Source organism: Homo sapiens, chromosome 15 (genome assembly GCF_000001405.40).
Source record: "Homo sapiens chromosome 15, GRCh38.p14 Primary Assembly".
Lineage (NCBI taxonomy): Eukaryota > Metazoa > Chordata > Mammalia > Primates > Hominidae > Homo > Homo sapiens.
Genome location: NC_000015.10, coordinates 77912270 through 77934748, shown reverse-complemented (window position 1 = coordinate 77934748; position 22479 = coordinate 77912270). Strand labels below are relative to the sequence as shown.

At 48.4% G+C, this 22479-nt stretch overlaps 1 long non-coding RNA gene and 2 pseudogenes across 2 annotated transcripts; 2 read left to right on the top strand and 1 right to left on the bottom strand.

Annotated features, from left to right (window-relative positions):
* The first annotated feature begins 7902 nt into the window (after positions 1 to 7902).
* Positions 7903 to 20532, top strand: GOLGA6FP (golgin A6 family member F, pseudogene; annotated as a pseudogene). The gene is made up of 18 exons (NR_027024.1): positions 7903 to 8007; positions 9694 to 9813; positions 11739 to 11819; positions 12677 to 12720; positions 12978 to 13028; positions 13129 to 13210; positions 13307 to 13413; positions 14443 to 14529; positions 14638 to 14745; positions 14938 to 15025; positions 15434 to 15984; positions 16261 to 16329; positions 17657 to 17732; positions 18164 to 18255; positions 18820 to 18922; positions 19006 to 19109; positions 19198 to 19351; positions 19438 to 20532. The product of NR_027024.1 is annotated as a golgin A6 family member F, pseudogene (transcript).
* Positions 12883 to 18255, bottom strand: LOC124903533 (uncharacterized). The gene is made up of 3 exons (XR_007064724.1): positions 18117 to 18255; positions 16166 to 16252; positions 12883 to 12971 (listed from the first exon to the last, which is right to left on the bottom strand). It is a non-coding gene; the product is annotated as an uncharacterized LOC124903533 (long non-coding RNA).
* RN7SL214P (RNA, 7SL, cytoplasmic 214, pseudogene) lies at positions 17767 to 18031 on the top strand (annotated as a pseudogene).
* Positions 20533 to 22479: the final 1947 nt, after the last annotated feature.

Sequence of the window (22479 nt, the reverse complement as noted above, 5' to 3'; positions counted from 1 at the left end):
GCAGAAGGCTGAGCGCAGAGCCAGGCCTGGGCGGATGTTCTGCAGGGGCTGCAGGAGCTGACAGTCCTGACCACCCAGCCCGTGGCCATCCATTCCCCTTCACCGTGGCTGGCCCTTCATCCACTATCCTTCCAGGGGCCAGGCCTGAACCCAAACTGACTTTTACCTGCCCCTGTTCCCCCTTGTGCCTGCCAGGTTCTTGGCTAAGCGTGATGGTCTTGCCCATTTCCTTGATTATCCTCAAGAGGTTTATAGAGCCAATTGGGGACATCACATCTCCTGTCTACCAGGTCCTCACCAGAGACATGACTGCCTTGGGCCAGGCCTGGGATAGTCAAGGGGTCACACTCACCTGTTGGGACCTGGCTTCAGTGGCTTCAATCTAGGCAATGGCCTGATGGGCGGCTGCCCCTTCTTCTGTGCTTGGGGGAGGCAGGAGAGGAAGGTCAGGCAGGAGATCTGCTTCCTGCCCTCCTGATGCTGGTTGGAAGCAGGGCGCCCACCTGTGCCTGTCTCACCTCGCTGCAGGTACATCAGAGGCTGAACCCCTCTCCTGATCTCCTGCAGGTGTGGATTCCAGGTTTCCAATGGGTGTCGGGGTGGGCTCCAGAGCTCTCCTGGCCCTAGGGAACCCTGGGCTCCATGAGGCCTTGGCCTAGCCAGATTGTTTCCCACACTGTCACCTCTCCACCCAGTCACCTCCCCAAACATAGGGCTGCATGCTCTGTGCCCTGGGTGGGACAGTGGAAGGAGTTCCACTTTCGGGGTTTGGATCACAGTAAAGCCTCTGCCATGGGGATGTGCTGGCTGAGACAGATGGGGTTGAACCAGCCATGATACATTGGCCTTGGGCAAGTCATCTGTGCCTTGCTTCCCTTTCCCCAGCAGCCAGAAGGGATAATAGCACCTAGTTCACCCATACTCAAGTGTTCACTTGTTAGCAGGAACTGAGTCCCGGAGGAGGTGCAGGCGGAGCCATTGAGGCAGCACTGCAGCTGGACCTGGGTCTGAGTCCCAGCTCCTGGCTGTGATATGCGTCACTCTCTCCATTTATTTATCTGAAGGACAGGGCTGTGCTGTTCTGGGGTCACTGTGACAATGCAACTGGCCTGTGTGAGTTGGTGGTGGCCTCCTGAGATGGTTTGAGGTGGGCTGGAGGTGTGTCTTGAATGCCCCCTCGCCCCCACGGGGAAGATCCACTTAGGGAAGACTCGTGTCTGTATGGAGGAACCCACATTCCCTGCCCCTCAGTTATCCTCTGTCCTTTCCCAGCCCCCTCTGCTGTCCTGCAGGCTCTGGCGGTGGCCATCCAGCTTGGTGGCCATCTGGCTGGTCCACTCTTCCAGGTGGACCCTCTGTCCTCATTTGGTGCAGGTCCCATTGTGCCACCTCCAGACAGGCCATGCTAGCCCCAGGGCCTCCGTTCCCTGTTACCCAGCCCCCACCCCCAGGTACGTGCCCCCTCCCTAAAGCCCACTGTGTCCACCAGCTGTGTTTCAACTCTGTCTCTGAGCAAGGCCTAACGCAAAGCCTGAAACAGCCTGGCTTGTAGAGGGCCAGGAGACCAAAGCTTGAAGAGAGAGTGACGGTCTCCCAGAGCCCACTTAGCCTCAGCCCCAGGGCTGTGTCCATGCTGGTCCTGGCTCCATTGAGCCAATTCTCTCCCCTGACGCCTGTAAGGGCTCCAGTGGTGATGGAGGTAGCTGGAGAGAACAAGGCTGTCTTAACGCTCCCTCCCTGAGAAGGCCCAACGGGGAACGTTTTAGGCATCAGGGCATTCCGGGTGGCATCTTCAAGGGACCCCTCCTATACCCTGCCCTGCCCTGGCTCTCTAGTGAGAAACTGCAGTTGCTTGGACAGTGGGGCTGACCCAGGACAAATGCATATATTGGGCTGGTCTTCAGGGTGCTGGGGTAGGGGCAGGGGCACTTCAAGGATAGGAAGGAGAGGCCTGTGTGTTCCAGAAGTACAGAGGAACCTGGTGCCGGCCGCAGTCAACCCCTATGTGATGATCTTTCTACCCACCCTCTTTGGTGTCTTGGTGCTGGCTGCTGTCTTTGGCCAGGTAAGCTCATGGTCTGGGCTTCTGGGGTCCGCTCACTGGGCTTGCCCACTGCCTGCAGGTAGGGGAGCCTTTGGGCCAGGACTATCCTTGACTCCCCTTCCAAGTGGTGGGTTCAAAGACCATTCCTGGGTTCCACCACCGCCAAGCCTCAATGGTGTCTTAATGGGCCCAGGAACTGCTGGAGCTTTCTAGGTTAAGACCCTTGCCTATCCCGGTGTTCCCCCCCTGCAGTAGGGGGCTGCAGGGGTCAGCCTCAGTCTCTGCCTTGGGAGCCTGCCTTACCTTGCCTGAACTCAAGCGATCTGCCTGCCTTGGACTCCCAAAGTGCTGCGATTATAGGCGTGAGCCACTGCACCCAGCCCAGCCTTGACTTTGAAATATATGTTGTACATCCGGACAGCAGTGAACTCTGGGGGAACACCAAAGATGAGGAGAATGAGAGAAGAGATACCTCCAATTAAAGGAGTTAAGAAGAGATGCTTGAACTTATGTTTTAAAAAGTCACTGCAGGTTGGGCACAGTGGCTCGCACCTGTACACACAGCATTTTGGGAGGCTGAAGTGGGTGAATGGCTTGAGCCTAGAAGTTTGAGACCACCCTGGGCAACATGGCAAAACCCCATCTGTACACAAAATACAATAATTAGCCAGGCACGGTGGTGTCTGTGGTCCCAGCTACTCGGGAGGCTGAGGTGGGAGGTCGAGGCTGCAGTGAGCTGAGATCCACCACTCCACTGTAGCCTGGGTGACAGAGTGACACCCTGTCTTAAAAAAAAAAAAGTCACTGTTTTGGGGTTTTCTGGGTGAAACCTCTGTTTCCATAAAAAAAAAAAAAGGGTCGAGACAGTATGTATTACTAATTGAAAATCATAACCAGATGCTTAGAGTAAATCATTGTATCGTTTCAAAAACCAACCTCAGGATTATTAAAAGTTAGTTTTTAATAATTTTTTATTATTTCCTTTAAGCTTGGCTGATTCACTCAGGTCTGTCACTTCCAAGCCCATGTTTTACTACTTTGTAACCCTATTTGGAAGGACAACTGCAGCTCACATTATGATCCATCCTGAGATGAAAAGTTTCACACGTATACACCACATATACCCCCCACCACAGTATGATGGCACAGCAATCCAACCTTGGGCAAAATGGTACCACTGCCAGCAAATGCATTTTTTTCTTTATTTAAAAAATTTTTTTCTGTATTTCTTCTAACAGCAGCAAATGCATTTAACATTTTATTGAGATTCTCAACAGCTGCCATTTGGTTTGTTTAGCAAATTGTTTATAAAGTAACTTTTTTCCATTTTTGATATTTGAATGAAAATTATGTTCTTCAGTTTTAAAGCCCCATCTCTCTCCCAAAGAAAGGTTAATAACTAACTACCAAGTAATGATTATTTAGGAAAAGAAGAAAAGCAAAACCAGCTTGTAAACACTTCTGGAACGTGGGTAAGGGGCCAAAGTCAAGACCTTCTGGGCCCAGTGCAGGTGCTAGGCTTGCCTCGGGACGCCATCAGCACTTCCCCATCCACAACATCCTCAACAGCTGGGAGCCATGCGCAGACCCCAGGGGGCTTCCTGTTCCACAAGCTCCCCTCTCTTTTTCCTCCCCACCCTTGCTGTTGGGCCTCCCTTCCAAATCTGCCTAACAAAGGCAGCAGGATCTTTAATACTGTTCAGCTTTGTCAATGGAGACAGGATACTCTAGAAAGTTGAGAGATTCCCTGGTCCAGTCTGGGGGAGGAAAAAATATGCAGTGTAGCATAGATGGTTTTACTTGTCCACTCAGACACATGCTCATACTTATTAGATGGATGTATCAGATGCTTCAAAAGTCCTGATGTGTAGTAGCACAAAAGCTGCTTGTAAAAAGGAAGTTGCAAAATGATAAAAATTTCTGCAGCAGTTCAGGCTCCTGATGACAAAGCTGGTTCTGATAAGTAGTTATTTTGACATGCACAGCAGCTTTCGCTGTTAAGTCCTGTGTTCCAGCGGTTTCATTTAGACCACGGGAAGTTGAAAGTAAAGTTTAAATGTTCTCTGCTGACAAAATGTGGTATATATCCATCAATGGACTTCTACTCAGTAATGAAAGGAACAAACTACCAAAACCTGTTATATGTCATGGACCAACCTCAAAAACATTAGCTAAGTAAAAAAGCCAGACATGAGACCACATATTGTATAATTCCATTGATTTGAAATGTCCAAAAAAGGCAAGTTGATAGAGATGGAAATGGTCTGATTTACCTCAAGAGGTAGGGATTCAAGCTCTCTAGGGTACATGTGATACATACATGAGAAAAAATAAGGAAAAGAAAAGAAATTTATATGTAAATAAATGAAAATACTACTTCTCCCTGATTATAAAGAAAATTGCTTTCTTTTTGTAATAATTTGGAAGACAAAATATGAAGAAAAGTCTTTAATTTTGCCACTGAAAGCATTCTGGTTTGTTGCTTTTTATATTTTTTTATGCATATGAACATTTTAAAAAGTAGAATCGTAATATATAGTCTTTTGTCACTATGTTTTGGGCATATTTCTATGGCAGTAAATATATCCTTGGCATCATCTTCTTAAAAGCTCGATGTATATTAAGTTAATCATTGCCACCCCAGAAGTAAATTTTCTTATATATATATTTTAATGGACGCAAGCAAGCATTTTGGGGCTGAAGTCATAGAAGTAGAATTTCTGGAGGAAAATAACATAAAATAGTTTTAAGATTTTTAATAGAAATTTTCAAATTATCCTGCAGAAAAATTGGTTCAGTTTATACTCCCAACAGGGGCAGAGCTCCAGTGTCCCCCTTCCATTTGTCCTCTTTGCTGATATTTAAGGAGAAAATCTCATTGTTTTCATTGTATTTCTTTGGTTTCTAGTGCTTTTGAAACTTTTTTTTTTTTTTTTTTTTTGAGATGGAGTCTTGCTCTATGGCCCAGGCTGGTGTGCAACAGTGCAATCTCGGATAACTGCAACCTCTGCCTCCTGGGTTCAAGCGATTCTCCTGCCTCAGCTTCCCGAGTAGCTGGGATTACAGGTGCCCGCCATCATGCCTGGCTAATTTTTGTATTTTTTAGTAGAGATGGGATTTCACCATGTTGGTCAGGCCCGTCTCAAACTCCTGACCTCAGGTGATCCACCCACCTCGGCCTCCTAAAGTGCTGGGATTACAGGCGTGGGCCACGGCCCCGGCCTTGAATCTTTTTTATGTGCTTATTGGCCATTTTTATTCTTGTGGGAAGTGCCTGTTTCTCCATTGCCTATTTTCTGGCCAAGCTCCCAAGTCACATTTCACTTAATTTTTATCCTGCTGATTGAAAGCATTTTAACATAAACAGGAGCAGGACAGAGTGTAATTATCTAGATCTTGCTCTGTCACCCAGGCTGGAGTGCAGTGGCATGATCATAGCTACCACAGCGTCGTACTCCTGAGCTGAAGCAATTTTCATACCTCAGCCTCCCATGTAGCTAGGACTACAGGTGTGTGCCAGCACGCCCAGCTAATTTTTGAAATTTTTTGTAGAGATGCGAATTCGCTATGCTGCCCAGGCTGGTCTTGAACTCCTGACTTAAAGTGATCCTCCCACCTTGGCTTGCCAAAGTGTTGGGATTACAGGCATGAACTACTGCTCCCGGCCGAGAGCTCATTTTGTTTGCTAGTGGTGATATTGGTATCTTTTTATATTTGAGGCTTTGGTGCTAGTGCTGAAGTATTACACTCACCATCCGAGGTTTGCAGGACTTTTGTTTTAATATTGAATACATGGAACTGTTTACTTCTGCATCTTTGCAGGCATACAAAATGTGCCTACCAGGACTCTGCTTTATATCTATCGAAAGCAAGAAGTAATACAGTAAAACTTTGCCTGGCTAGAGGCTTTGGAAGAATGGAGTATTCTGATTTAATGCTATTAACTTGGAAGTGTGAAGGTGAAAAGAATTCAAAACTTACATTTCCTGTTGAATGCAATTTGAAAATACAGCCAGTGATTCCACTTTTCTTCTCTAGTAAGTTTGGACATTCCGATCTACTTGGTGTTTTATTATAGAACTGCTAGTGTGCCTGAGACTTACATTGTGAAGACACTTTTTAAAAAACTTGAGAGGTAAGAGGGTGTAAATGGTATTGTGTGAGATCAGGCTGGATGAGAACTGACACTTGTAAACATACTTTTTAGGCTGAATCTCTGATTGCCATTTGTTTTCTTATTTAACTCATAAAAATAAAACACATTGGATGGAGGGTGGGAGTAGGAAGGAGATTTATGTCTTTTAATTGCATGTCATTGTTTCATATCAAGACAGAACATATGGTATCCCTGGCTTTGGACCTACAGAAGGAAACACATTTTTCTACCTGCTGTATGCCAGAGGTTCTTGAACACCTGGAGGGATGACTGCAGCACAGATTGCTGAGCCCTACTCCAGAGTTTCTGATTCACCATGTCCAGGGTGGGGCCTGAGAATTTGCACTTATAAAAAGTTCTCAGGTTCTGCTGCTGCTGCTAGTCCAGAGGCTACATTTTTGAGAACCACTCTTGTCTACTAACTGTAAATTGTAGAACTCTAGAACAAAGCTTAGTTTGGTGTGGGAAAGGAAGCTCACAGGTTATGGAGCAAATCATGAAAGATTCAACCCTTGATCCCAGCCTCGTGTGGAATTCAGGTAACAATACACAGTGACATAACACAATTCTTGGTTATCATGATTGCAAGTCATAGCCAAGTATCAAATGAGAAATTCAGTTTCATTTGCAAGGCTTAGAGAGGCCAGGTGATTCTAGAAAAATAGGCCTTGTATTTGCTTTAAACCAGTAAAGAGCTTTGAGTGCTTATTAAATGGAAAGCTTTGTGTTTTTATTTATTTTTGACTATTTTATTTTATTTTTTGAGATGGAGTCTCAGTCTGTCACCCAGGCTGGAGTGCAGTGGCGTGACCTTGGCTCACTGCAACTTCTGCCTCCCGGGTTCAAGTGATTCTCCTGCCTCAGCCTCCCGAGTAGCTGGGATTACAGGTACCCACCACCACACCTGGCTAGTTTTTGTATTTCAAGTAGAGATGGGGTTTCACCATGTTGGCCAGGCTGGTCTTGAACTCCTGACCTAAGGTGATCCACCCACCTAGGCCTCCCAAAGTGCTGGGATTACAGGTGTGAGCCACCACACCCGGCCCAAAAGCTTTGTGTTTTTAAAGATATTAGACATGTTTCTTGTTTTTTAAAAAATCTTAATAATGTAGGAGAATAAGAGAAATGTTTTTTCCAAAACCGAGAAATCATTGTGATTATTTTACCTTATTGGAATGTTGGATAATATAGTCCACTTCATTCATTAATCATCAAACATACTATGGATTTTCCATTTTTATAGGATTTGTGTCTTCACTGGGGTAATACTGGTAATTCTTATACTCCATCTGAAGATGAAAAACGTAGGCCAAAATCATAGACCATGCATAGAAGCTGGATAATGAAGACAGCTCTGGAGGAACATGTAGACACACACACACACTGACACACATATATATAAAGTATAAACACATATATTTTTTAAAGTTTAACATTTTAAAGCAAAAGCCGGTCCTCCCCTCTCCCGGAGTAGGCAGGCCCCGCCCCTCTCCCCGAATGGGCGGGGACAGCAGTCGCATGGGCAGCTTTCCTTGTGATGTCACAGGTTCCTCTGGACACACTGCTGCCTGGCCACGCCTCCTTTCCTTTTCATCTTTCTCATTGACCAATGGGATCGGAGCATTAAGGCCACACCCCTATTCTGCATTCTAGTGTGGCCCTGGTTACGCCTCCTCTGGCTCAGTCACACAGCAGCCTTGTAGGTGACTGGAGGTGTTCGCTGATGTGGCCCCAACCCTACCTCCCTCCCGACCCCATGATGCCAGAAGAAACTCGATGGAACAAATTGGCAGCAGTCAAGAAAAAGGTAAAAAGCCAAGAAAAAGGTCATGGCCCCCCAACCTAGCCAGAGATCCCCTCTGATGACAAGACCACTCTCAGAGTCCATACCACTCTTGAGGCACACCGGGCTGGGCCCCCCTACCCCGGCGCCTCTGGACTCCCCCCACCAAAGTCTTGTCAGTCAGCCCCGCCCCTTCAGCAAGCAGCCTGGCCTCTGCCCTCGCCAATCACCCTGCGGTGACTTTGGGCGGATGACTGCTGGGGCTCCCTGCTCCATATTCAGCCCTCAGGTCCTGCTGCCCCAAGCCCAACCTCCCTGGGTTCTTTGGGCTCACCTCTCCAAGGACCTGGGTCCCCCAGCCCCAACACCCCAGCATCGCCAGTCATCCCGGGGTGACTTTGGGCTGGTGACTCCTGGGGTTCCCTGAGCAGACTCTGCTCTCCCCTCCTGCTGACCCAAGCCCGACCTCCCTGGGCTCTCTGGACTGGCATCTCCAAGGACCTGGGTCCCAGCCCCACATCCCCCCTCCCCCATCGTGGATCGGCAACTCAGCCATTGCACTGATGAGGTTCCCCCCACCCCCAGGAGGAGTGGAATGTAGTGATGTCACAGTCCTCCTAGGAACTGTCATTACTGCTGCAAGACTGGCCTTTGATCTTACAACCCAGTCCCCTAAGCATTCTCACCCCATTTCTGGTTCCTCTGGTCACAGCACAAATTTCCAGCTAGAAGGGAAATGGGGACTATGGGACCTAGGGGCAAGAGGTTTCAGGCTGCCTTACTCCCTTCACATAGACATCGACAGTGTGAAAAGCCTACACTTCCCCTGTGAGCTCAAAACGTTGACAGTATCTCTGGGTGGTAATGGGAGAATGGGTTTGGTTTGGTTTTCTCCCAGGCTTCTACTCTCCAGAGAGATTTTAACATTTTTTTCTGAGTTCTCCACCTCATATTCTAATTCTCCACGGTTCTGGGACCAGACTGCCCTTCAGTCAGTGGTCTCTGAAGTGAGATTTGCTCATCTTCTGTGGAATAGATCTTGGGAAACTGAATTTGACAGCTTGAATCTTCCTCATATCATCTCAACTTGGGGTACATTGAGTGCCACAGGATAAATGTGGGAGATCTTTCTGAAGCACCAGTTTCCCTTGATTCTCTTGAGAGAGAAAAAACATTAATGTACTTAGGGATGACCCTCACATAGGTTTCTAAGAGTATACCAGACTTCTCTCTGAAATGAGACTTGGGTTGTCCTCTTTCTGACAAATTCCCAGATTTAACAAAAAAGCTGCCTTCTGCCATGAGGACACATTGATATAAAAGTTTGAGAGATACTGGTGCACTTCTTCACACTAACAGACATGTGAGGATGTATGACTCTAAACCACACAGCATGTAGTTCCTGCCTATGTAATGTTTACTTTTCTTGCTCTGCGTCTGGTTTTGGTCCCCAGCAGCTGCTGATCATGGCAAAACCCCAGAGCTTGGAGTCAGAAGACCAAGTTTAAGTTCCATTATTGCCCCCCCAACTTTTTTTTTAGCCATAATATCCATCCCTCTCAATCACTAAGTGATTGTGACAACACCTTGTACAGTTGTTGGTGGCATTAAACCAGATGGTGTATAAGAGTATTTTGCAAAAACTGTAAGGAGGGTGTGGCTGTAAGGGCTGGTAGTTCTCATGAGTATTACTGCTCTTCTTTCCCACAGCTAAAAGAATATCAGCAAAGGAAGAGCCCTGGTGTTCCAGCAGGAGCAAAGACAAAAAAGAAAAAAACTGGCAGTAGCCCTGAGACAACCACTTCTGGTGGTTGCCACTCACCTGGGGATGTGAGTCTTGGCTGGCCAGGCTCCTGGGGACAGGGGGCCCAAGGGGCAGTAGAGGGTAATTGTTGAGATTGCTGGGTACTGGTTAAGAATTCTGGGTTTGAATCCTGCTTCTCCATCTGCTAGCGATCTGATTTATGGCAAGTTGCTTGAGCTCTTTGGGCCTCTCTTTTCACATCTGTGAAATAGGGGTAGTATTGTTTGACTTCCATTTGTGAAGTTTAAATGAGATTCCTTATTGTTGTTGTTTTCATGTTAACTCCTAGTACGTGGCCTGCTGTAAACACCCAGGATACCCAGGAAATGATCATTGTTGTTTGATTTTCCTGATCCCCACTCTCAAGGGGAAGTTGGGCTAATGAGTACAGCCACTTGCCATCAGGCTGTCCCTTTAGGAGTCACTGAAGGGGGCCCAGGGTGTGGTGAGGAGAGCCCCAGGCACTAGGAGCAAGAGAAGATCTAACTTGCCACCAGCTTGTTGGGTGACCACAGAAAAATCACTTCTTCCACTGGGCCTCAGTTTCCTCCTCTGTAAGATGATACTGGATAAGATCAGTGTCTTTCAAACTTGTTTTTTAGCTGGAATCCCCTTAGTTCAAGTGAGCTCTTACTCAGAAGTCTGTTTTTTTTAATGGAGGTGGAGGTCTGGAGCTCTAACAGATTCATCACCCATGTCCTGGGCCTGAGGAGAGGGGACCAGTGAGCATATTAAGATCTGCATTGGTCAGCTGACTCCACTCTGTGACTGCGTCACTCAGGGGACTTTTCCATCTATTTGTTCCTGCCCCTGGCAAGGCAGCAGGTGGCCATTTGGAAGAATGGCACAGGCCATGGTTTTAATCTCCTCTGCTCTTCTTCAGCGTTTCCTTTTCCTGAACCCACATCTTCCTCCTACCCTGACTTTCTTGCTTCTCTCTAAGCCACTTCTGTCTTTCACCTCCTGCCCTTGTTTTTCCCTTGTCACCTCCTGTAGATTCAGGACATTCTGAAGGTGCTGGTGTCCAACCTTAATACTCCAATGGGGTAGTGCTCCCCCATTGGACAAGTGGAAGGTGAGGCAGTGCCAAGACCCCTCTCTGGCTTGCTGTCTCCAGCTATGCATGGCCCTGAGGCTTCTCTGGTTTGGGGAATACTTGGCCTCTGCCTTGTTTTATGTTGCTGCCATTAACCTTCAGCCTGTTTCTGTCTGCTTCTTCACCTGCTTGATTGATTGGGTTTTTTCCTTCCCCGCATCTTTTATCATCTTGGAAATGGTGAGACCTAAAAGTTTAAAAGTAATTTGGGAATAACGTACAGAGCAGGCATGTGGGGTTTGGGCCTTTTTATTTTTTATTTTTTATTTTTTTTTGAGACAGAGTCTCACTCTGTCACCCAGACTGGAGTGGAGTGGTGTGATCTCGGCTCACTACAACCTCTGCCTCCTGGGTTCAAGCGATTCTCTTGGCTTAGCCTCCTGAGTAGCTGGGATTACAGGCACCTGCTACCACACCTGGCTAATCTTTGTATTTTTAGTAGAGATGCAGTTTCACCATGTTGGCCAGGCTGGTCTTGAACTCCTGACCTCAAGTAATTCACTCCCCTCAGCCTCCCAAACTGTTGGGATTACCTGTGTCAGCCACTGTGCCCGGCTCCTTGCTGTTTTTATACTTTCTCTATATACATAACTATTTCCCATGTAAGTTTTTTTTTTTAAATTTCTCATTTTTATTACTCCTGCATCATCTGTTACCCTGAAGGATCTGGAAGTAAGAGGCCCTGGGCCGAGGTGCAGTGACTCTGCAGGCCAGCCCTCCAACCTCCTCTCACAGTGGGGGCTGGGTGACCCTCTGCCAGCTGAGACAGCCCACACACACCCCAGCCCTAATGATTGTTCTCTCTACCTCTCCCCACAATCCTCTTCCAACTCCTCCTCTCTGCATGTGCCTCAGAGCCAGTACCAAGAACTAGCAGTAGCCCTGGAGTCAAGCTCCGTGACAATCAATCAACTCAATGAAAACATAGAATCATTGGTAAGAGTCCAGTGGGGTCCCCTGATTCCATGCTGCCAATCCTGGGCTTTAGTTTCCCCTTGGGGCCCTGAAGAAAGGGGCTGGGGGCCCCTGGTGCCAAGGGCAAATGGGGAGCTGGAGCACCCAGGCCTCACCTGGAGGGACCCCAGAGCAAGGAGCACGCAGCATGGCTCTTCTGTCACTGCCCTCTTTGCCAACTCTCTCTTCTCCAGACACCCCTGCTCCAGTCCTTGCCACACACACCCTGGGGTTGTCACCTCTCAGGGAAGCGCTAGCCTGACTGGTTGTCAGGGGCCCTGTATTTCTGCCCTGACTCAGTCCCTAATTTGCCTTGAGTATGGACAAGCCACCTGTCCTCCTTGGGCTCGTGTTTCCGGAGGAGGTAGAGCATCAAAGTTCTCTGTTAGCTCTGAGAGTCTGAGATTTAAAGGCCCCTAGAATGGAAACCTGAGGGCCAAGGGCTCCTGTCTGTCCTTTTCCATCCTATATCTGCTGTGAAGAACCGTAGCTGGCCCGTATGTGTTCAGTAAATGTTTGTTGAATGAAGGCACCTTTCTAAATCACAAGCTGGCAGAAGGGTGGGCCTTCCTGAGACTCCCTCTCTAGAGGTTTATGTTACTGTCCTTTTGAGAGAATCCAGATTCAAACTTTGAGTTCTGCGGCTTTGGGCAAAAACCAACAAAGACCCAAATCCTCTGTCCTTGGGTGCTTGAAGAGGGTTGACCAGTTCGTGTCGCCATTGGGTCTGAGAATGTTGCCTTTAAAATCCATTCCTGGTCCCTGCCTACCACTTCCAGGTCTGGGGAATAGAGTTGAGGGGGCCACTCTCAGTCACCTGAATTTGACTCTCCCCACAGAAACAGCAGAAGAAACAAGTGGAACATCAGCTGGAAGAAATAACGTGATTTTCTTTGCTTACAACATGACTGCTGGGTTTGGGGGGCACTCAGATGCAGAGGTGCCAGTCTCATCTTGCCCACTCCCAGCCTGGGGAAGAAGGCTCACCCCTCAGATTCCACCCCATCCCCACGGGGTCCCTGATAACCTGGTTCCATGGGTGGGCCTGTCCTGGGACATTGGTGGCATTCTGGGGGCGTGCCTCCTGCTGTGCCATCTCGGCCTCCCTGTGGCAAGAGCTCTGTCTTCCTCTTCCTATAGGCAAAGAAAGCAAACAATGAAATACACAAAGCACAAACAGAGCAGTTAGAGGTGAGTGGAGGGTGGGGAGCTTTCTCCTGTCCTCTGGAGAATGTTTCTTTCCTTCCCTTTCAGCACTTGCTTGGCTTTTCTCCCAAAAGTTCAATTCCAGACAATCAACATCCTCACATTGGAAAAGGCAGACTTGAAGACCACCCTTTACCATACTAAACGTGCTGCCCGACACTTCGAAGGTGGGAATCTGGGCACCCCATCATCCTTCAACCTGGCACTTTGACAGGTCTTTAGGGGGAGTCTTTTGGGCCCCATCTCAACCTCTCTCATTACAGAAGAGTCCAAGGATCTGGCTGGCCGCCTGCAATACGCCTTGCAGCGTATTCAAGAATTGGAGCGGGCTCTCTGTGCTGTGTCTACACAGCAGCAGGAAGAGGACAGGGTGAGTCCAACCAGCTGCCCCATCCCCTGGCAGCCTGGCTTCCCAGATGGAGGAGTGAGCCTAAAGGTCCCTTCTGCAGGATGGAGTGTCCTACCCAGAAGGCAGCATGGTCATTTCTCACTACTTTTGTGTATGGTTGTTAGAGGCAGCCTGGGGCTGAGTCAGCTGCTGTGGGTGAGTTGGGGGGCACTATGGGGAGTGAGCACTGGATGCAGAGCTCAGAGGCCAAGTGCCTGCCCTGCCCTTTCCTGGCTGTGGCCTTGGGCAAGTCCTAGGTGGGGTATTGGATAGTTGTTCTGTGAAGGTACAGAAGAGCACCTTTAGTATGTTACCATTTCTGTAGAGAGAGGAAAGGGGTGTGTGTGTGTGTGTGTGTGTGTGTGTACTATGATAATATACAAAAACATGTCTGCAAGCATTCATAAAAAACTCAGGAGAGAGTAACAGGGTGCCTGGGAGACACCTCCCTTCTGTACCTTCTGAGTTTTGGACTATATGAATGTATCATCCTTTCAAAAAGTGAACAAAAGATTAATTTCCCCCTTCCTATCTGTGTCCCCACCCCCAGCAAGAAAAATGGGCTTAGAGAATAGGATAGACCTGGGTGTTCAAATCCCAGCTCTGTCTAAGTGATCTTAGGCAAGCACTTAACCTCGAACACTCGATGTTTTTCATCTACACAATAGAGGTAATCCTAGTAACTGTCTCATATGGTGGTTGTGAGGATTAAATGGGATTGCTAGCATGGAACCTGGTGAAGCACTCCATAACGGTTCAAACAGTGGTAGTAATAACAGTAATAACAATAGCAATATTATCTGATCTCTCTGGGCCTCTGTTAGCCAGCTGTAAATTCGATCTCTTTCCCTCTCCCTTCCAAATTTACTGAGTTCTTTTAATAACCAGGCCACGGGCTTGGAAATGCCTTGACCTTTACTAACCGAGTTGTATATTGAGCCTAGCCCTAGCCCTTTTAAGGGGCACTGCCTGAGCTCCCCAGATCAAAACTTCTCACTCTTCACCATCCAGTCCTCGAGCTGCAGAGAAGCGGTCCTCCAGTGGCGGTTACAGCAGACCATAAAGGAGCAGGCACTGCTGAACGCACACGTGACACAGGTGAGGCTTTGCAGAGGGAGGGATGTGGAAGGAAGATGACCCCAGGTGGCCAGGAGCAGGTGAGGACCAGTGACAGCCCTTCCTAACTTCTCTGCCCATTTCTTGCAGGTGACAGAGTCACTAAAACAAGTCCAGCTAGAGCAGGACGAATATGCTAAACACATAAAAGGAGAGAGGGCCCGGTGGCAGGAGAGGATGTGGAAAATGTCGGTGGAGGTGAGGTCTGACCCTTCAGCCCCCACTTTAGATAGGTCACTGGATCTTTCTGGGCATCTGTAAAATGGGAATAGTACAGCCAGAGGTGGTCATGGGTCTGGGCTTTGTGGAGATGGGGGCACAGAGTGAGATGGTAGCCTATCCAGCCACCAGCCCCTCTCTCCAGGGCCCTTTCCCCTGTGCTTTGGGCAGGCTCGAACATTAAAGGAAGAGAAGAAGCGTGACATACATCGGATACAGGAGCTGAAGAGGAGCTTGTCCGAACTCAAAAACCAGATGGGTAAGATGGGGCTGGTGTGACCTGGGAGCAGGACTGGCATCAGAGGTCTGTGGGGGTGGCTTAGAATGCCCCAGGGAGGTGGGTGGGTGGAAGGGCTTTGAGGCAGAGGGAAAGAGGTCTGTGCCAGGAGACGGCAAGTTTTGTCATCTCCATGAGCCTCAGGGTCCCCATCAGCAAAGAGGGAGGAGCACCCGTTGTCAGCCACCCACAGTGCTCTCTATGTGAAAGTGGCTTGGAAACTGGCTACCATCGGGTGCGAGGAATGATTAGCAGTGAGGCCAAGTTTGGGAAGCCTGAGAGGAGCTGTGCATCAAGAGGAGGTTTTTTTTTTTTTTTTTTTTTTTGAGGTGGGGGTGGGTAGAGGGGTTGGGGAATCCAGAGGCCCTTATTGTCTGCTTTGTTTCTCAGCTGAGCCCCTATCCCTGGCGCCCCCAGCAGTGACCTCTGTGGTGGAACAGCTACAAGATGAGGCCAAACACCTGAGGCAGGAGGTGGAAGGTCTGGAGGGAAAGCTCCAATCCCAGGTGGAAAACAATCAGGCCTTGAGTGTCCTGAGCAAGGAACAAAAGCAGAGACTCCAGGAGCAGGAGGAGAGACTCCAGGAGCAGGAGGAGATGATCCGAGAGCAGGAGGAGATGCTCCGAGAGCAGGAGGCGCAGAGGGTGCGGGAGCTGGAGAGACTGTGTGAACAAAACGAGAGGCTTCGGGAGCAGCAGAAGATGCTACAGGAGCAGGGTGAGAGGCTGCAAAAGCAGGAGCAGAGGCTACGCAAGCAGGAGGAGAGGCTGCAAAAGGAGGAGGAGAGGCTGCAAAAGCAGGAAAAGAGGCTGTGGGACCAGGAGGAGAGGCTGTGGAAGAAGGAGGACAGGCTACAAAAGCAGGAGGAGAGGCTCGTGCTCTTCCAGAACCACAAGCTCGACAAGCAGCTGGCCGAGCCACAGTGCAGCTTCGAGGATCTGGTGGGTTGCCCCACCTGGGGAGCCTGCACTCATCCCTATCCCTCCAGGCCTTTGTTTCCCCACCTGTAAAATGGGCCAGTGTAGCCCTCACATGAAATGCTACTTCTAAAGGCACCTGTGAGCTACAGCTCATCAGGCTCTGCTCTGATGGCTGTGGGGGAGAAGGGATGATTTTTCTAACCTGCCTCCACGCTTCCTGGTGATATGGGAGGCAGACACCAAGGTCTGGTGTCTCCAGCTGCAGTGGATGGCCACTGATTGCTTCTCTCTGTCCAGAACAATGAGAAAAAGAGCGCACTGCAGTTGGAGCAGCAAGTAAAGGAGCTGCAGGAGAAGCTAGACGAGGTGAAGGAGATGGTAACCTCCACCCCATCCAAGAAGGGCTGGGAGGCGGGCACCAGCCTCTGGGGAGGGGAGGTGCCAGGCCAAAGGCAGCTCCAGCTGGGAGGCAGGTGACCCCAGCATCCTCCAGGGCAGCCCTATGACTGTTTCTTGCTTCCTGCCCTCTGACTTTTAGAGGTGGGTAGCCCTGGGCTCCTCCCAGATCGGGACATCATCATCCCAGCTAGAGGCATGGAGCCCCCAGTCACAGGGGAAGAGACAGTGGTACAAGAGTCTCCTTATCCGGGCACGGTGGCTCACACCTGTAATCCCAGCACTTTGGGAGGCTGAGGCAGGAGAATCACTTGATGTCAGGAGTTTGAGACCAGCCTGGCCAACGTGGCGAAACCTCACCTCTACTAAAATTACAACAAAAACAAAAAATTAGCCAGGCATGGTGGCGCATGCCTGTAATCCCAGCTACTCAGGAGGCTGAGGCACGAGAATCGCTTGAGCCCATGTGGTGGAGGTTGCAGTGAGCTGAGATTGCACCACTGCACTCCATCCTGGGCCACAGAGTGACACTGTCTCAAAACAAAACAAAAAAGCCTCCTTAGATTCAAACTGGATTCTGGCCTGGGTTCCACTGGTCACCGTTCAACTACTGTTCATCTCTAAGTCTCTGTTTCTGTGACTTCAAAAGGAAGTTAGCATTTTCCTTGCAGAGGTGCTGAGGATTGAATGATAGAATACCTGGAAAGCATTAGGCATGTAGCACACTTAGCAGATGGTGGTTGGCTCCCTCTGCTTTTCCACCAGTCTGTGGCCTACAGTTTAAATGGTGGGAAGAAGGACATGAGATTTGAGGCTGGGGAAGGAGGTATGGGGTTCTAGGCAAGGGAGGAAGCCTCTTAGGCCTGAAGCAAGGGACCAGGGTCCTGGGCAGGTGACAGAGCCCCACAGTGCCCTAGCTACCCTATTAATGGGCCCAGAACCTGGAAGCCAGCCACCATGTGCCCTCATGCCCAGGGTTTTCCTGCAGGTGGAGCTGAAGAGCCAAGGGTCTCAGAGTCTGCAGCAGCAGCGAGACTAGTACCTGGGTCACCTGCAGCAGTACGTGGCCACCTATCAGCAGCTGACCTCTGAGAAGGAGGCGCTGCACAGGCAGTTACTGCTGCAGACCCAGCTCGTGGACCAGCTGCAGCAGCAGGAAGCTTGGGGCAAAGCGGTGGCTGAGATGGCCCGCCAAAAGTTGCAGGAGACCCAGGGGAGGGAGTTGCTGAGGATGGGGCCCCGAGGGGGATGACCTGGCAACCTCCGTGCCTTCTCACTCTGTTTCCCATCCCCTTGGGAGCACCTAGAAGCTGCCAGCCAGCGGAACCAACAGCTAGAGACCCGGTTGAGCCTCGTGGCTCTCCCTGGAGAAGGTACAGGAGACCACTCAGAGGAAGAGGAGAGAGCCCCAGGAGGAAGGGGGGACTGTTAGCAGCATAGGATTGAGGGGTTGGAAGAGACCTTTAGAACAGCTGGTCGTTATGCCAACCGGGTGTCCGCACTAAGTTCAGCATCAATATGGTGACCTCCTGGGAGCAGGGGTCCACCAGGTTGCCTAAGGATGAATGAACTGGACCAGATCAGAAAGGGAGCAGGTCAGAACTCCCGCACCGACTGGTAGTGGGACTGTGCCTGGGCAATATAGCAAGATCTTGTTCTTAAAAGGAAAAATAAAGAACAGCAGCTCATTCCCCTCTGGGGAGAGGCTGGCTCAGGGTTACACATTGAGGGTGAGGACAGAGGTGGGCCCACCGTACCTTCCTTGTTGGGTTGTCTGAGGACCCCTCTGGCCACCTCCCCACAGGAGATGGAGGAGAACATCTGGACAGTGAGGAGGAGGAGGCGCCTCGGCCCACGCCAAACATCCCAGAGGACCTGGAGAGCCGGGAGGCCACGGTGAGCCTGACTTTCCCTGCCCCACTTTGCCACCTTCCTCTGTGGTCCCTCCCAGAGCCCGTTATGCTCTTGGTTTTCCCGCCTTCTGATTTCTGTGGCCCCTCACCTCTTCTGGGAGGCAGTGGTCAGACACCTTGTCACCTGTGACCAACAGGTGCACTCTCTGAGGCCCCAAGGGAAGGGACTGTGCTCCAACTTCCTGCCTCATTTGCTCTGTCTATGCCCCTAAAAGAATACTCACCTCTTGCCTTCAAGTGGCATTTTTCAACTCCGCTGGAGCCAGTTCCCAGGAGGAGCAGGCCCGGCTATGTGGGCAGCGGAAGGTGCGAAGGCTGTGCTGCCTGCACCTGGCTCATCTGGTGGCCTTGGCCTGGAAGAAGCCAGAGGCAGAGGCCCCAGCCCCAGGGAGGACTGGAGATGAGTTTGTGTGTGGGGAGAGCTACCGGGCCCTGAAGGAGGCCATGGTGAAGCTGAAAGTGAGTGAGTCCTGGCATGGGCCAAGAAAAGTGGGGGCGGGGCAGAACAGGTCACTCCCGAGATGTGACCCCATTATTTTGGCTCCAGAGCAGCTTTACGGACCTCCCGAAGGAGAAGGCAGATGGGACGGAGCAGGTGGAGAGACGAGAGCTTGGATTCGTCCAGCCTTCTGGAGTGACAGATGGCATGAGTGAGCAGGAGGCCAGGGCATGGGCACGGGGAGCTGCAGGGCCATCGGAGGGACCCTAGTGTCTGAGCCGTGTCCTCTTGCAGGAGAGTCCTTCACCGTATATGAAAGCCAGGGGGCAGTGCCAAACACGTGGCACCAGGAGATGGAAGATGTCATCAGGCTGGCCCAGAAGGAGGAGGAGATGAAGGTAGGGCATGCAACATCTCTGTGGGGGTGGGGGTGGGCATGGGCGCTGGCGCAGGCTCCAGGGTGGGAGCTGATCACCCTCCCTTCAGGTGAATCTGCTGGAGCTGCAAGAGCTGGTGTTGCCCCTTGTGGGCAACCATGAGGGGCATGGCAAATTCCTCACCGCTGCCCAGAACCCTGCTGATGAGCCCACTCCAGGGCCCCCAGCCCCCCAGGAACTGGGGGCTGCCGGTGAGCAGGATGGTGAGTAGAGCTCTCAGGCGGGGTGGGCAGGCAGGAGCAGGGGAGGCTCGCACTGTGCTCAGACCCCCGCCTCCCTCTCTCCAAAGATTTTTATGAAGTGAGCCTGGACAACAATGTGGAGCCTGCACCAGGAGCGGCCAGGGAGGGTTCTCCCCATGACAACCCCACTGCACAGCAGATCGTGCAGCTGTCTCCTGTAATGCAGGACACCTAGGAGCACCCAGGCTTGCCCAGCAAACCCTGCGTGCCATTCTTTTACCAGGCAGCCGAGAACAGGGAGATAAACATCATCATCTTCTAAGAGCTGGTCAAGAAATTTAAAACAACAACAACAACAAAAAGTTACAGGGTTCATCTCCTACACAATTCATTTACTCCATTTGAATGCTAGAGCCACTCACATTTATTTGTGTTTCTAATTTACCGTTTAAATTTATTTGTAAAAAGTTAAGGGAGAGTTGGTCTTTCCCTGATGTTCTTTCTGGCATCCTTTAGCATTTTTATTTTTTACTTGATAATTGTAGGTCATTAGCACGCATATCGAGTTTGCCCTTAGGTGGTGGGAATTCATACACACAAAGACCCACTATTTGCACAAAACTATTCTTGCTGGTTTGGAACAGGCTGCCATGCTTTTTAAATGTTATTGCAGCACATATATTCATTACAGAATTCAGATAAAATGTGCTTATGTTCTGCTATTACGTTTGATTGAATCCTAACCACAGTGAGCTCTTCATTAGCTCAATATGTGGTTTGCCCTCAAGTGCGCACTGTTTATTACTTTGTAATATGCCACTGTGAGTACTGACATTTAGAGTTGTTTAAAGGCCGAGAACTGGAAACAGCCTTTCCCCTATTTTCTGTGTATTGGGGATGGGAGTCATAACATTTTGGGGAGCTTTTTAAATCTCACAGAAGAGGAAAGTGGCCTGCTCTGGCAGGTGTGTGCAGGATACAGTGTGTTTCATTTGTTCTGGTGCCAAGAATGAGCACTGTACTATGGTAGTTCCCTTAGGATTTGTGTGTGCTCTGGGCTTATGAAGATATTGCATCATGAGCTGCAGCAGTTGTACCCTTTCTCGATGACCTAAAAAGGGATTATTTCTGAGGAATGAAAGGCTCCCATCATTGACTGTGGATGTGGAAAACCTTTTCTAGCGTAGAGCATTTATATCTACAATACATTTTAAAGTCAGAGTTCATGTTACCTGTTTTAATCACATGAGTATATGTCCCAGTACACAAAAGGGCACCGGTTGGCATTCTTCTTAAGGTATTTAGTGAAGATCATAAGAAATCCTTTAAGAGTTTAAATGTCCCTGGAAGAGGCATACGGGCGCTAGTCAAGAATGAATTCGAGTGAAGGAAAGCTGTGTGACACCTGGCCTTCCTCTATGTTCATGGAGCTTCTTTGAGGCTAGAAGATTGATTTTATCATCTAGACCTCTCTGGCTAATACCTATTCTTCAACCACATTAGTTACTCTGACATAGGAATTTACTTCTTTTCTTTGAATGGAAAACACTTTAAAAATAATAACAACCATTATTATAAACCAATATATGAGAGAGTACTTAGTTGAAACAAAAAGGAGTTTTAGTAGACAGTATTATACTACATATGAAAATCAAGGTGAAGTTTATGCAACTTAAAATGTTTACAAGCTGCCGTGCAATCTACTGTTTGTGAGTGTCCAAGTATTATGAGGAAAAGTGTCTATACAATCACAGAGTTATGCTTCCTCACAAAGTTCTTCACAAAGAGTGAAAGATGTTTTTATACCTCTCGGTTTCAGTTAGAGGCATATTTTGTGCCATATTTATGTTAATGTGCCTATACATGATGAATGAGTTATTTCAGTCATACATTGCCTAAGTCATAACTTTAAGATGCTTGGGAAAGAATCAACAGCTAAAATTTCATGAAGTTCTAATGTCTGTGTTCCAAAATACGTCACATTATTAGGATGCAGGGAGAGATGCGTGTGCGCTCCCTGGGGTGGGCATTTCTAGTTACTAGACCATCTCCATTTTTACCACTTGACATCCTCACGATACTTTTATACATATGACATTAATAGGAGAGCAATAATACGATTTTACAGATGGAATAACAGATGTGCCTGCATTCACTGAAATAGTGCAAATATTAAGTCCTTGTGACTTCAACTGACTCTTCCAAATTGAATGAATTTATCAATGCATTAGATGAACTCAGTTTCAGAATTATAAAGAAAAACTGTTAGACCAACGAATGTGGCTAATTAACAGTAGGACGATTTCTAGCCTGAGGGTTTAAAATGGACTTAAAGACCTGTTCTTGCCTTTTATTTTCTGAACTTGCTGCTTTTGCATTCTTTGAGTTCAGTTTAAAGACAGTTTAAGTCCAATTTAGACCCTCAGGCTAGAAATCATATCACTGTTAATTAGCCACCTTATTTGGTCTAACAGTTTTTCTTTATAATTCTGAAGGTGGGCTTACCTAATACATTGATAAATTATTTTGAAGGTATTTTTATATCTTCACTTTTACCCTGATAAAGATAAACGACTAGGAATGACCTTCAGATAGCCTTTAGCACCTGTAACCAATCTGACAATAATGTGTTCATCAGGTACCTGTGGATTAAATCACACACTGGCATATTTAAGCTGAATGTCAGTCTGGAAAATGAATGTACTATATTAACTGAAATACCACTCTTTGTGTAGGTATTTTGTCATATACTTAAGAAAAATTAAATAGAATGCAAATCATATGACAATAACTTAAGTCTTTCTTCAAAGTGCATGCGGTCCTTTGCAATACCTCATTCAGCCAAGTATTTGTTCTCTTCCTCATTCAGTATAAGGCAGCTTTCAATTTGCTTAGAAGGCAACATTAGAAGGGTAGAGTTTAATCAGAAACATAGAATTTTAAAGTGTGGGTTCAACTGAATAAATTTGAATTTCTGTAGGAAGAATTAAAAACCTATTTAAAGATTGCAATATATAATCATTTTTAAAGTATTTGATTAAACCTGATAGGCTTTCCAGAAATGAAAAAAAGTCAGTTCTAAAACCAAAGCTGATATTTAGAAAATGTGAAAATGTAAATCAGTGCTATCCATAGTATAGTTTCTCTAA